The 16,040-nt window shown below is 37.7% G+C and overlaps 1 protein-coding gene across 5 annotated transcripts in view; it reads right to left on the reverse strand.

The window, feature by feature from the left end:
* Positions 1-1,646: 1,646 nt before the first annotated feature.
* Positions 1,647-16,040, reverse strand: part of ESCO1 (establishment of sister chromatid cohesion N-acetyltransferase 1) — a 71,421-nt gene continuing 57,027 nt past the window's right edge. For 2 of the 5 annotated variants that reach the window (NM_052911.3, XM_011525798.2), the window contains exons 9-12: positions 12,283-12,372; positions 8,405-8,548; positions 4,836-5,023; positions 1,647-2,853 (exon numbers count right to left, since the gene is read on the reverse strand). In NM_052911.3, coding sequence (NP_443143.2) covers positions 2,706-2,853; positions 4,836-5,023; positions 8,405-8,548; positions 12,283-12,372 — 570 coding nt within the window. In that variant the 3' untranslated portion in view covers positions 1,647-2,705. Of the gene's footprint in view, positions 2,854-4,835; positions 5,024-8,404; positions 8,549-12,282; positions 12,373-12,939; positions 13,064-16,040 lie in introns of those variants that run through there. The other 3 variants (XM_011525799.4, XM_047437285.1, XM_047437286.1) reach the window with 2 other exon arrangements.

Consider the following 16,040-nt stretch of genomic DNA (forward strand, 5'->3'; position numbering starts at 1 on the left):
CTTCATCTCCACATCACAGCTTTAGTTCAGTGTTTCAACACTTTTCACACAAACGGCTCTTAATTATCATCTAAGTTCCAGATTCCTCAATTATAAACCCTACCTCATAGGACTGTCGTAATGATTACATAAAATAATGCAGGACTAAACACACAGGGTCTGACACATAGCAAACACTCAAATGTTAGGTATTAACTAATAATACTATTCTTAGAGAAATACCTAAATTGTAAAATTTGGGAGGCTATATCTTCAGTATAAACATGAAAATAAACTGGTTTCTCAGTAATAATAACATATAAACCAACCACCCAATATACCCTCTTCCACCTCCAGGTCACCTTGAAACCAAGTCAAAAGTAGTCAAAGTAGTATACTATTGTTTATGGAAATTGGACCTGTATTATGGGATTAACAGTTACTAGAGAGTCTACACTATATCCCAAAATTTCATTCTGTTTTTTTTTTTTTTTTTTAAATCATGGTACCTGTCAGGCAAACAATGAGACCAGGATTGACTAGAACAGTCTCAAGCCCAAAGGGAAATGACAGTATCAAAAGCTAGGGCCAGGTGCAGTGGCTCACACCTATAATCTCAGCACTTTGCGAGGCCGAGGCAGGTGGACCACGTGAGGTCAGGAGTTCAAGACCAGCCTGGCCAATGTGGTGAAACCCTGTTTCTACTAAAAAATACAAAAACAAATTAGCCGGCCGTGGTGGCAGGTGCCTGTAATCCCAGCTACTCTGGAGGCTGAGGCAGGAGAATCGCTTGAGCCTAGGAGGTGGAGGTTGCAGTGAGCTGAGGTCATGCCATTGCACTCCAGCCTGGGTGACAGAGTGAGCCTCTGTCTCAAAAAAAAAAAAAAAAAAAAAAAAAAGCTAGACCAGCTTGATGAATCACGGGGAAATATTTACCGTGCCCTATCATTCTACCCATACAAAATGTAGAGTCTTATACCACTCTAGAAAAAAAAATTTTTTTTTGAGGTGGAGTTTTTTGCTCTTTTTGCTCAGGCTGGAGTACAATGGTGCAATCTCTGCTCACTGCAATCTCCACCTCCCAGGTTCCAGCTATTGTCCTGCCTTAGCCTCCTGAGCAGCTGGGATTACAGGTGCATGCCACCAAAACCAGCTAATTTTTGTATTTTTAGTAGAGACGGGATTTCACCATATTGGTCAGGCTGGTCTCGAACTCCTGACCTCGTGATCCGCCCGCCTCAGCCTTCCAAAGTCCTGGGATTATAGGCGTGAGCCACCGCGCCTGGCCTAGAAATTGTAAAAGCAAAAATTTATAGGGAAATAAAATGTATACCTGTTAATTTAAGGCCCTAAATTTTAGCCAGTTTTCAACTGAGATATGATCATTTCAGCTCACAAAAATAACCTAAGTTGAACCACAGTGGTAATTCATTCTTGGGCTGTGGGCCCTTCATTTATTTGCAACATCATAAAAGTACTATGTTACTAAAATAATCAGAAAGGATTTTGCCTTTGGAAATAAAGTTCAGCTGATTTGCTGCTGACACAATGATCCTTTGGCAAACTGGTGGAAACTGCCTTTAGGAAGCCAATGTTTTAATCATATTTCAAGATATCAAACCAAAAAAACACCCTGAAAAAGCACAAATGACAACACACCATTATTCTCAGTTAGTACATTGGTCACTTAGAAAAAGCTATCAAGTATTTTATTATTTTTATTCTACATTATATACAGGTCATAAAAGGCCACAGCAGTTTTTCAACATATAAACCCTTTAAAAGTAGAGGGCACTATGAAGGATAGACAAGTATCAAAATGAAGTCCAGTAATGAGGGCATATACTCAGTGCAGTATTTCTGAGGAATAACAAAGCAGATACCGAGTCATCCATACTTTGCTTCCAAGTATTCTATACGTTTTTATAAACCTCTTTGAGATTTGTTAACAGCCTAGGTGTGCCAAGTTGCCATTTATTTTAAAAGTGAAACCAGAATGAAAGAATAATGAATCTAGGAGGGTACCTTTCCTAATGCTTGTCATTTACAGCTCTCCAAGAAGGAAAGCCTCAATTCTTTACCACTTTCTACTTCCTCCTTCCATCAAAGATAGGAAAGAGAAAAATCAGGAAAAAAAAGCTCAATATTCTAATTCTTCCTATTTAGCTGGAGCTTTCCTTTTCTATAGGGGTTTCTTCAAAGTATAGTTCAGGCCTTTTAAAAATTAGCTTCAAATTCCAAAACACTTAATATTGCACCCTCCTTGAACAATAACTAAAAAAATTGGTTTCCACTCTGTGAAAATACAATCTTTAAGCCTATCACTGGTATCAGCAGATCAATATAAAAAAATACAGTACCAAGCTACACTGGTATATTTCCATATTAAGAACTTCAAAATATACTTATCACTGAGACCATAGTCCTTGCATTAGTTTTCAGTCCACTATGAACAATTATCTGCTGCATGTAAACATGTCTAAATAACTATAGATAAAATACATCAATCATAAATTTCTGTAAAAGATAATAAAATATCTTCTTTAAAAAACAAAACAATAAGCTATTACTGCATTGTTTCCAATTTTATGAAAATGGAACAACCATATGGTTGTTGCCAGTCCTGAGTTCATTGTAATAAAAATGGCCCTAGTTCCTGGTTAAAGTCAGCAACCAATCCATTCTCTTCAATAGATGTCTTCTAGTGGTGTAGGCAAGAATTTGTTTTACGTGCTATTCTGTCCATTAATAAAATTATATACCAGAAATTGACCAGTGCCACAGTACTGTGTTGCAAACAGCTTTCCATCAGGAGTGGGATCTGAGAAAGCAATTTCTTCTTTGCTCAAATATGAGCCATATATAAAGTTACTCCTATTAAAAAAAAATGGGGGGGGGGAAGGGTTAAGTGTGAAATGTTAAAAAAAAAAAAATTCTAATCATTAAAACTGGAATAACCTGTCAAATACAATTTGACTAAAAAAGCTTTTTAGATACTGCTGTATGTGCTCAAAATTTTTGAAAATAATTATTCATCTATAATATCAATAACCTGAGGTTAAATTTTAATAAAAGCAACAATGTAAAAACATTTACCCAACATCTTTTCATGATAAAAATATTCAACTAAGAGTAGAAATATTTCCTCAACCTGATCAAAGACATCAAGGAATATCAGAGTTAATGGTGAATGACTGAAAACTGTTCCTCAAAGATCAGGAATAAGAGAAGACTACTCTCACCTCTTCTATTCAATATTGTATTGGAGGTTCTCGTCATGAGGAAAAGAAATAAAAATCATCCAGATTGGAAAGAAAGAAATAAAACTATCTCTTTTGCAGATGAAAAGGCCTTGTTTATAGAAAATCCTAAAAAATTCACAAAAACAAACAAAAAATCTAATAAACGAGTCTGGCAAGGCTGCATATTCAAGATTGATATTCAAAAGTAAACTGTTTCTATACACTTGTAATGAACAACCTAAAACTGAAATTTAGGGGGAAAAAAGTCCATTTATAATAACATCAAAAAAAATTAAATACTTGCCAGGCACAGTGTCTCACACCTGTAATCCCAGCATTTTGGGAGGCCAAGGTGAGAGGATTGCTTAAGCCCAAGAGTTCAAGGCCAGCCCAGGCGACATAGCAAGACTCCGACTGTACCAAAACAAATGAAATTTTTGCCAGGCACATGGCTATGGTCTCAGCTACTCAGGAGGCTGAGGCAGGAGGATTTCCTGAGCCCAGGATGTTGAGGATGAAGTGAGCTGTGTTTGCACCACTGCACTCCAGCCTGGGTGACAAAGTGAGATGCTGTCTCCAAAAAAGAAAAAAAATACTTGGGAATAAATGTAACAAAAGAAGCATTAAGACTTGTACACTGAAAACTATTAAACACTGCAGTAAGACATTAAAGACCTAGGGCCAGACGCGATGGCTCACACCTGTAATCCCAGCACTTTGGGAGGCCAGGGTGGTGAACTGCTTGAGCCCAGGAGTTCGAGACCAGCCTGGGGAACATGGCAAAACCCCATCTCTACAAAAAATAGAAAAATTGGCCAGATGCAGTGGCTCACGCCTGTAATCCCAGCACTTTGGGAGGCAGAGGCGAGTGGATCACTTGAGACCAGGAGTTCGAGAGGTGGTGGGTGCCTGTAATCCCAACTACTTGGGAGGCTGAGGTGGGAGAATCGTTTGAACCTGGGAGGCAGAGGTTGCAGTGAGCAGAGATCACGCCACTGCACTCCAGCCCGGAACAACAGAATGAGACTCCATCTCAAAAAAAAAAAAAAAAAAAAAAATTGGCTGACCTAAAAACCTCTTTTGAATAATTAATTTTAACCTCCTTCATTAATCTTTATCAGAGGTACTTTATAGGACAAAAAACAAAACAATTTTTCTGAGTGTCCCTTTGATATCTCTGACAGTCAAGTGATAAAAGAAAAACTAATAAGAGATTTTGATAGTTTACAAATAATATTCTTGAATTAAGATAAATTTCTCTAAAAGCTGAACTCCCAAGGAACTTTCCACATTTCTTTGGTTATATTTAAAATTCTTCAAAATGAAGCACAACTTGAAATAGGCAGGTTATTTTGGCCTAACATCATAGTTACAAATAAGTAAGTCGAAACAGCTTAATATTAATAGTGTTTAGCCTATAGTGCTTTCTTCCTCCTCACATTACATTCTCATAAAAAGTACTTACAGATCCAATACACTGATAACCTCATGCAAAATTTGTAATTAATACAAATAAAGATTATACGCATGTTAATTAAATGCCAATCTTTACACTAAAGCTCTGCCTAAGTCCTAAACTACTAAAAATGATTTGAAGGATTACATTCAAGTTACCTTAGGCATTCAATCATGCGAGAAGCAATTTTCTTCCGACGCATCATGCTGAATACCCATATTCGACTGATCCCGCAGATTGCAGGCTCTGGTAATGTTGAGCAGCACCAGGCTTTTTGCCTTTCAAATCTGACTTTTTCTTCTTCTGACCTGATAACTGGAAGTTTCTCTTCTATAACTCTGTAGCCCTACAGGTGTCAAAAATGGGGAAAAAATTTAAGTGAGATTATTAATTAGCAACTAATACTGATCTGGTTGAGGCGGTTATGACATTTGACTGGCTTAACAAACTATGGGGCCACTTATGCTTTCACTCTCATTTTTAGGAAACAGACAATCTGGATCTGCATTCTGTTCCAGTTCACTTACTAGTTGTATGACCATGAAAGTAAGTTACAATTTCTCTAACCTTTGGGTTCCTCACTGGCGATATCCATCATCTCTCATTTTGAGAGATTAAACCAAGTAATATATGCAAAGTACCTTGCCATCATGAGGAGCCCCCCCAATAGGAACTGAACATTAGTTCTCTCTACCTCCCGCACTCCAAGAACCAGCAAAAGTACATGTTAAGAACACAGCAGTAACTGTTTCTGTGATTGCTGTCACAGTTCTAGATTTCACAGTTGTACAAGAACTGAGACTAGGGATAGCAGAGAAATCAATAATTTAAAAAGCCATTTCATCACACTGCAATCTCTTTAAAAAAAAAATACCTTAAAAAACATATATCTCTTTTATGGTGGCTGGCTTTATGGGAAAAAAATAAAAAATAAAAAATATCTCTGCCAGTCTAGCTGCCAAAAAATAACACAATTGGTTGTTTTTTTTGTTTTTTCTTTGAGACAGAGCTTCTTCTGTCGCCCAGGCTGGAGTACAGTGGTGCGATCTCGGCTCACTGCAACCTCTGCCTCCTGGGTTCAAGAGATTCTCATGCCTCAGCCTCCCAAGTAGCTGAGATTACAGGCACGCACCGCCATGCCCGACTAAGTTTTGTATTTTTAGTAGAGATGGGGTTTCAACATGTTGGCCAGGCTGGTCTTGAACTCCTGGATTACAGGCATGAGCCACCGTGCCCAGCCATGACTAGCCTTCTGATGGGACAAGATATAAAACTTAAAAGTAAACAGACAACACAGTTAAGAGTCAGCAAAAACAACCCTAACAAACATTACATAGTTATCCTTCTAGTCTAAACACCGCTATAAGTCATTTATGGATCTAGGTGGAATAGAACCTTAAAAACACAATAGTTCGCACTATGTAAAATTAATTCAATTTCAGTATGGCAAACTTCTATGAATTAGTCAATTTATATCAAATTAATTTCCCCAAACTACCCTATCAGTTACTTATTTAAATCAATTTTGTTATTATAGCAAGGTTCATAAGCACTATATAATAATTTCAGGCTGAATATTTATTTACTCATTTATTATTTTTTCTTAAGAGACAAGAGTCTGGCTATGCTGCCCATGCTGGAGTGCAGTGGCTATTCACAGACACAAACATAGCACCCTACAACCTCAAACTCCTGGGTTCAAGCAGTCCTCCGATCTAAGCCTCCCAAGTAGCTGGGACTACAGGTGCCACCACACCCAGCTGAATTTTTTAAACACGTAGCTTAACATATATAGAGAAACTCCTGCAAACTTGCTTTGACTTTTCACTTTTTTAGAAAATTTTATGATCAAGCATACATCTGTGCAAGCAGCTATTAACCCACTTATGCCTAGTGTTCCATTACTGGAACACTAAGCATGTGGGAGTTATTTATATCCTACTGCTCAAGGTCATCGCCAAGGTCTTATTTTTCACTCATGCAAAAAAATCAAAAAATTGTTGCAACCTTTGGCATAAATGAGTTAATATGCTAAAAGACACCATCTGAACAGTAGTCACACACAATGTACACTGAGTTCATGAGCAAGCACTTAGCTGGAAAAAGATAGAATTCAGGTCTGCCTCAAAGTGAGCATTATTAGGGAGTCCAGAAGCTTCTGTTCTCTTAGAATGGTCTCGGCAGTTTCTAGTAACACTCATAATGTAAACATACATGATTCCATTGTTTGTTTTTTGTACAAGTTGGCTCCTAAACACAAGATAACTACTCATTCAGAGTTCAACAAAGGAAGTGGTGATCTATTCCAGGTGTGGGCCTTTTTTTTTTTTTTGAGATGGAGTCTTGCTCTGTTGTCCAGGCTGGGTTCAGTGGCATGATATTAGCTCACTGCAACCTCTGCCTCCCAGGTTCAAGCAATTCTCCTGCCTCAGCCTCACGAGTAACTGGGATTACAGGCACACACCACATCTGGCTAATTTTTGTATTTTTAGTAGAGACCACGGTTTCACCATGTTGGCCAGGCTGGTCTCAAACTCCTGACCTTCTGATCTGCCCGCCTCAGCCTCTCAAATTGCTGGGATTACAGGTCTGAGCCACTATGCCTGGTGGTGTGGGCCTTTTATAAAGGTACAGATAGCAAATATTTTAGGCACTGCAGTCCACCTGGTCTCTGTTGCAACTATTCAACTCTGCCTTTGTAGTACAAAAGTAGCCATAAATATGTAAGCCAAATGGGTGTTGGTGGGCGACAATAAAATTTTATTTACAAAAACAAGCTGGATTTTGCCCACTCTAGTTCGCCTAGCCTTGACTTACTCCAGTGCTAGAGGGACTAATTGAGAAAGACATTACATTGGTATCCAACATGGAAACTTCCAAAATAAACTTTGATAGTATTCTGATTTTTTTTTTTTTTTGAGACGGAGTCTCACTCTGTCACCCAGGCTGGAGTGCAATGGCGTGACCTTGGCTCACTACAACCTCTGCCTCCTGGGTTCAAGCGATTCTCCTGCCTTAGCCTCCTGAGTAGCTGGGATTACAGGTGCACACCACCGCGCCTGGCTATTTTTTTTTTTCTTTTTTTTTTTGAGACCGAGTCTTGTGTCGCCCAGGCTGGAGTGCAGTGGCGCAATCTTGGCTCACTGCAACCTCTGCCTCCCGGGTTCAAGCGATTCTCTTGCCTCAGCCTCCCCAATAGCTGGGACTACAGGCACGTGCCACCATGCCAGGCTCATTTTTTGTATTTTCAGTAGAGAAAGGGTTTCACCGTATTAGCCAGGATGGTCTCGAACTCCTGACCTTGTGATCCTCCCACTTCGGCCTCCCAAAGTGCTGGGATTACAGGCGTGAGCCACCACACTCAGCTAATTTTTGTATTTTCAGTAGAGAACAGGTTTTCACAATGTTGGCAAGGCTGGTCTCAAACTCCTGACTTCATGATCCACCCACCTTGGCCTCCCAAAGTGCTGGGATTATAGGCGTGAGCCAGTGTGCCCAGCCTGATGGTATTCTGATTCTACAGAATTTTTATCTTACTGACTTGAGAAACTAATTCCCATGCATAACCATTATTCCACTATGGTGAAGACTCACACATGGGAATTCTTGCATTAAAACTGATCTTTACATGAAATGGAGACAAATTTATCAGGATTTATGTTATTTGGGATTACGTTGTAAACTCATTAAACACCAAATTACTTAAGAACACTCTTTTATCACTTACCCATTGGATATGTTCCGCAATTAGGCAGCCAACTACTTTTTTGTCATTGGAAATGAAGAGAAGTGTTTTAGTTCTGGAATAGCACATTAGTGGAGCCTGTTGAAAACCTAAATCATTGTCAACCATCTCTCTAATCTCGTCAACCTGCCAAATAAAGAACAGTAATTATTTTTAAATGAAAATATTATATACATGTAAAAACACACTATTTCAGTTCAGTAGATCAACTTTATTCCAAGCAGGGCATCCTCTAAAGAGTTCTTTTGGGCTGGGTGTGGTGGTTCACACCTGTAATCCTACCACTTTAGGAGGCCAAGGCGGGTGGATTGCCTGAGCTCAGGAGTTCACGACCAGCCTGGGCAACATGGTGAAACCCTGTCTCTACTAAAATATTAAAAAATTAGCCAGGTGCCGCAGTGTGCGCCTGTAATCCCAGCTACTCTGGAGGCTGAGACAGGAGAATCCCTTGAACCTGGAAGGTGGAGGTTGCAGTGAGCCGAGATTGCGCCGTTGCACTCCAGCCTGGGTGACAGAGTGAGACTCCATCTCAAAAAAAAAAAAAAAAAAAGTTCTTTTGAATGACTGTACTGATCAATAACTGTTTTTTAACCCCTTTGGAACACTTTGCAAAATGAAGGAAGAACTGGAGGGGGATGCCAAACCCAACAGTCTAGAGAACAAGAGGGATGGGGTGAGAGCTCCTACAATAGATTATTAGGAACATTAAGACTTCCTATTAGAAGCATCTAATCTGTGAATTGAAGAGAACTTCACTGCAATCTTAGCCAGGCAAGCCACTCTTCTTCCCAACCCTTAATTAGTACTCTCATCGGTAAAACAAAAGTGAGTATAGAGAAAAGGAACTCATGTTTACTTCCTATCAACCACTTATAGGCCAGACATTATTCAAAGCACTTTACAAATATTTCACTTAAATCCCACATTTCTTGGAGGTTTATGGTTCTTCACTTTACATATGGAAGAAATAATACTCAAAAGTTAAAGAACTTTCCCATGTCAGATATTAGACATCTAGAAAATCAAGCAGCAGAGTCACATGTGAACCCAAAATGTTACTATGGCATCAAACCATGCTTCTTGCAGTTTAGCTCCTAACTGACCAAAGTCAAACATGGTAAGCTCAAACTGTTTGCAGGCAACCAAAATTAAGACCTCTGTAGGTACTCAACCATTAGTTCCTTCCCCAGTTAAAAGATACTGCCAACAAAAGCCAGAGAGCAGTGGCTGATGCCTATAATCCCAGCACTTTGGGAGGCTGAGGCTAGAGGAGTTCAAGGCCAGCCTGGGCAACACAGCAGAACCCATCTTTACAAAATTGTTTTATTAGCCAGATGTGGTGGCACTTGCCAGTAGTCCCAGCTACTCAGGAGACTGGGGCAGGAGGGTCACTTGGGCTCAGGAGTTTGAGGTTACAGTGAGCTATGATCACACCACTGCACTCCAGCCTGGGTGACAGAGTGGAATTCTCTTAAAAAACAAAACAAAACAAAAAACTAAAAATAGAGTCCAATAACACTCATTTATGTTATTAAGTCCTCCTAATCCTGACACAGCATCCTACAACTCCTAATTCCTAAAGACAAGTGATTCACAATTCCCTAGATTTTAATTTTTAACCTATTATGGGTTACTAAGATTTTGTTCCGATAAACTAAAATGAGGAAATTAGCATCTACTGAGGGTTCCTTCTAAGAAAAGTCTGGTTGCCATATATGGTAGTGTAGCAAAAGTTCCCATGTGCATTTCCAAATGTGAATAGCTGGAATTCCAAAAATTCATTAATTTAATTTTCATTTCAGTTGACCCTCGAACAACAAAAGTTTGAACTGTGTGGGTCCACTTATATGTAGGGCTTTTTTCAATAAACATATTGGAAAATTTTTTTGGGAATTGTGACAATATGAAAAAACTAGCAGATGAACCATGTAGCCTAGAAACATAAAAAAAAAAAAATCAAGAAAAGGTTAGGTATGTCATGAATGCATAGAATATATGTAGATACTAGTTTAAGTATGGGATTAATCAATTATTTATGTTATCAATAAGGTTACCAGTCAACAGTAGGCTATTAGCAGTTAAGTTTTGGGGGAATCAAAAGTTGTACTTGGGCTGGGCAGGGTGGCTCACGCCTATAATCCCAGCACTTTTGGAGGCTGAGGCAGGAGGATCCCTTGAGACCAGGAGTTCAAGACAAGCCTGGGCAACACGGTGAGACCCTGTCTCTTAAAAAAAAAAAAAAAAAAAAAAGTTATAATTGGATTTTTGGCTGCATGAGAAGCCAGCACCCATAACTACTACACTGTTCGTGGGTCAGCTGTGGTTAATCACTGATCCAACATTAATTCAACAAGAATTTACTATTGTGCAAGAATCAATGTTTCAAATACAAGACAGGTTGGGCATGTTTACATGTCACTGTAAATACTGTTGTCTATTCTGTTAGGCAGCAGTAATATGAAAGCTTATTTGGGTATCTAAGATTGTCCATTCGGATAAACAGAGTATCTAAAGTTAAGAATCAGAAAATAAACTTACATATTTTAAATAGATTATTAGCTAAACTTTCAAATAACAGGCGCAAAGTATTTTCCTTCAACCAACTTTTCAGGTGAAGTATTCTTAAGTTTAAAGAAGTCCAATTGTTAACCTAAAAAAAAGTATAATAAACTGTTTTCCTCCTGTTTCCAGACATTTGGGACACACTCTAGTATAATTACTAAAGTGTTTCAGATAAACTTAACTGAACCCATTGCTAACATTATGAGGTATTTCTTCTGAAAAAGCATCCAGAGGTTGAAGAAAAACATACTGAGTATATTATTTGAAAGTGTAATGAACATATTAAACTTATTTAAAAATAAGTTTACCTTTTGGTTCCTGATTTTTAAAATAACCTATATAATAAAATGGTTCCAGGATTCATTATCTGGTTCACTTCTCAACACAATAAACTCTCTGAACACTTGAAGTATGGAACTCTAAGTTAGACTAACACCTGCCTCACACTAGATAAAATAAACTTTTATGTTTCCGCATTATATTTATAAACTGGAATATATCCTTATATCTTAAAAATATTATAAGATTAAGTCATGTTTAATTTCAGGTTTACTATGACCTACTTAGCAATCCCCTTCTGCAATAAGCTTTTATTTAGAAATTTTCCCTTAGAATGAAACTTTACATTTTATTAATTATCCAAATTATTATAATTCAGCTTTTATTTCTGATCGTGAAATCTTTTAGTTGGCATTATTCACTTAACAGAAGATAAGCATATCTACTTTGGCACTCAAATTATTAACTACTACTAATACAGGACAATTTAGTAATAATACTGGACAGTACTCAGTTCATTTAGAATTCATATACTGGACACACTACAAAGTTTAACATAATTTTTGAATTGGGTTATACCCTTTAAACGCTTATTTCTTGTTTTCAGAATAGGTGTTTCAATATACTATGCCAGCAATCTGTTATCCTCTTAAAATTAACTGCGAAATGGGCCAGGCGCAGTGGTTCAAGCCTGTAATCCCAGCACTCTGGGAGGCCAAGACAGGCAGATCATGAGGTCAGGAGTTCGAGGCCAGCCTGGCCAATATGGTGAAACCCTGTCTCTACTAAAAATACAAGTTAGCCAGGTGTGGTGGCACACATCTGTAGTCCCACCTACTCGGGAGGTGGAGGCAGGAGAATCCCTTGAACCCGGGAGACAGAGGTTGCAGTGAGCCGAGATCGTGCCACTGCACTCCAGCCTGAGCGACAGAGCAAGACCCTGTCTCAGGGTAAAAAAAAAAAAAATTAACTGCAAAATGATATTATCCACTCTACATGAAGTTTCACTGGAAATTTACCTTTTTCAGGGCATACTTTGGGTCTTCAGGAAGAACCATTATTATCCTGCCATCAGGGTATTCAGCCAGAATTCTTTCTTTCTTCCAGCCCTAGATATATATATATATATATACACACATATGTAAAGTATGAATTTTATGTATATTCTATTCATTATATCCACGTACAAGATAAAAAGTACATCAATTTGTCTAAAAATTGCAAACATGAAAAATATATGCTCATTAATGCTTAATAAAGCATGATAAATCGGCTATTTTGTTAAGCATACAATAGGTACAAGGCAAGCTAATTTCTCTCTACTACTCATTCAGAGATATATCTAATACCACAAGAGTATTTCTAATTTATCATTTCCCGTTTTAAATTAATTTTGAAAGCCACACACCAAAAGCAAGCCCCTTAAAGTCAGTAATTCCCAGAAACTATAACTCTCCCAGATTCTTGATAAAAGAATTAAACTCTTATATTTCATTGGAACATGGTTACCTCCACAAACAAACACTCCAAGTTTTATGTCTGGCATGCCAAAGACCTCCAGGAGGTTTTAAATGAACTGATTTGCATGCAGTAGCCCAGTATGAAAGGAATAGTCTTATGCTTATTGATCACAACTACCAAAGCCACAAGAAGGAGACTATAAAAAATATAACTACCTTCTAAGAATCTAATAGGGAAGGAGAAGCTACGTTGTGTGTATCTGAAGTTAAACATACTCAAAAAAAGAGAGGTAATAAACTCTTCTTCAGATCCACACTCGTGGTGATTAATGAGCAGAACCTGCATAAAAAAACAAAACAAAACAAAAGCCACTTAAATCTAGTAAGATGGGACTGAACCAGAGGTTAAAACTAGGAGCTTTGAAGTTCAAAATAAGTACAGAAGGAATGAGCTTAACTAGTTGTTCCAGTTGTCTTAACCCAACCAACTTTACATAAAAAGGCCTTTCCAGAAGCCATTTATACTTCTAGTAGAGAAAACCACCATATTTTTTCTGATGTTTCTTCTAAGAACACAAAAAGCTCAATGAAACCAAGAAAATGGCAACTAGATTTCTTTAAAAATATACTATGGCAAGTGTGAAAGCAGATTCGTTTTCTTAAACCATCAGGAATTTTTTGGAGGGGGAAGGTAGAAAGATCATAGTTGGGAACAAAAATTCTAGGTAATAAGCTTGGTATATGTAACAATTTAAATTAAAATATTTAAAATCCAAAATTTGTTTACATAATAGAGTACCCAAGTTAAAATTCAGATGATTAAAATTATGATTGGTAAAATGTTCTCAAGATTTGAAAAGAAAGGAGCAGAAACAATAGCCACAGAAGTCCTTTTTTCATCTAAGAAACTAAATCTGTAGTTCTTCAACGTAAATAAGGTTTTAAAAAAGAAACTTAAGGCCGGGTGCAGTGGCTCACGCCTGTAATCCCAGCACTTTGGGAGGAGGGCAGATCACAAGGTCAGGAGATTGAGACCATCCTGGAAACCCCGAATCTACTAAAATACAAAAAATTATTGTATTTTTAGGCGGGTGTGGTGGCACGCGCCTGTAGTTCTGGCTACTCAGGAGGCTGAGGCAGGAGAATTGCTTGAACTCGGGAGGTGGAGGTTGCAGTGAGCTGAGTTCGCGCCATTGCACTCCAGCCTGGGTGACAGAGCGAGACACTGTCCCAAAAAAAAAAAAAAAAAAAGAAAGAAAGTAAATCTGAATCATATAGAGATCTGAATATAGGTAAACAATTTTTAGAAGATTTACAAGACATCACCTCTTTAAAAACAAATTTCTATTACTAATGTTACTTTATGAAAAAGCTTTTAAATTTATGAACCTATTTTTAATAAAATGAAAAGAGATTTTCACTTTAAAACATCGAAAAGACCTAAAAATGTAAGTAACCTCAAGTTATAAGAAAACCATTCTTCCTGAACTGAATCATCTAAAGACAGTTCCATAAACTATTTTCCTATTAAATGCCTTTGAAAACAGTAATACTGGTTTCATGTCATTATATTGCATTATAGACATTAGACAAATTATTTTGCTTTACTAATTTTTGAGTGCAAAACTTTCTCTTGAAACAACTTCAGACTTGTATGTTCATGCCGAAATTTTTATCACAATTCCATTTGATATAATTTTATGTTTTAAATAGTACCTTTTTTTCATGTACTAAATAAAAGCCCTTTAAGAAGCAAAGGCTGCAAAAGGATACTTAGTATTGCTTAGATTTCTAATGTTCATGAAAACAGCAAGTTTTATTTATTAATGTAATTTACTTATTTGAGACAGAGTCTCACTCTGTCACCCAGGCTGGAGTGCAGTGGCAAGATCACAGCTCACAGCAGCTTCAAACTCCTGGGGCTCAAGCAATCCTCTTGCTTCAGCCTCCCAAGTAGCTGGGACTACAGGCGTGCACCACCATGCCAAGCTAAGAAAGCATATTTCAGTGAAAACTTTTAAGTAACTCTAGAGTAAAAGTTCAGGGTTTAGATCCTTGTTCTTGGTAGTTACTAGATGCATGGCCTTAGGCAAATCACTGGAACTCTGATTCTGTTTCCTGATCTTAGCATTCTAAAAAATGGCTATCATCACCTCCATCACTTGGGTAGGTACGAGGGTGCTGTATTTAAGATGACTGCTCAAAGAGTAGCCACTAAGTAACTCTTAGCAACTTCCATTCTCCCTTCTTACTAGTATCAAACTAAGATCAATGCACTAATCTAACAAAACAGTCAATCAATAAATGTTCCCAAGGGTAAATACAGCAATAAATTCAAATCATAGGCAAATAAAAGATGAAAGAAACAAGTTAGCTAATATTTGTTCAAATAACATACTCAAGACATATCTATGCCTCAACTACAGTTAACTGCTAGTCACAATAACCACATGACCCTCCTTACTTCAGAGAAACTTAGAGGCGATAAAGTCCATCCAATGCTTAAAATTAAGGCAGAGGAGAAGCAGGGTTCAGGAAAGAGTGCATGCAATTTAGAAGAATAATCAAATAGCCACAACGTTTTTGCAAAGAAATAAATTCCAATGCAGTGCACTTACACTTCTGACCTTTAGCTCCAACATATTTCAGGACTAGTATGTTACACATAACCCTCTGCTAACAAGTAGTATTTTCCAAAACCCATTTTTTCTTACTTCATCCATTTCTGCTTCATGAAAAGCAGAAAACTTTATATTCCTAATTTGTATTTCTAACAGCAAGAAATTATTATTATTTTATTTATTTTTTTTTTTGAGACAGTTTCAATCTTGTTGCCCAGGCTGGAGTGCAATGGCGCAATCTCGGCTCACTGCAACCTCCGCCTCCCGGGTTCAAGCAATTCTCCTGCCTCAGCCTCCCGAGTAGTTGGGATCACAGGCATGTGCCACCACGCCGAGCTGATTTTTTTTGTATTTTTAGTAGAAACAGGGTTTCTCCATGTTGGTCAGGCTGGTTTCGAACTCCCGACCTCAGGTGATCCGCCAGCCTTGGCCTTCCAAAGTGTTGGGATTAAGAAATTATTACTCTTTTCTCCTTGCTATTGGAGTTACTCTAAACTGTACAGTCTAAAGAATGGATTTCTCCTTTTTCCATCAAAAAAAGGATTACAATTGGAAACAAAATACACTGAGTGGTAAATACACTGAGTATATACAATGATCAAAATTCAAACCAAACACTTAAGATGTGTAGATTTAATTGTATAAATAATACCCCGACTTTAAAAGTTCACATTAATCACAATTTCATGAAAAGGT

Source organism: Homo sapiens, chromosome 18 (assembly GCF_000001405.40).
Source record: "Homo sapiens chromosome 18, GRCh38.p14 Primary Assembly".
Classification (NCBI taxonomy): Eukaryota; Metazoa; Chordata; class Mammalia; order Primates; family Hominidae; genus Homo; species Homo sapiens.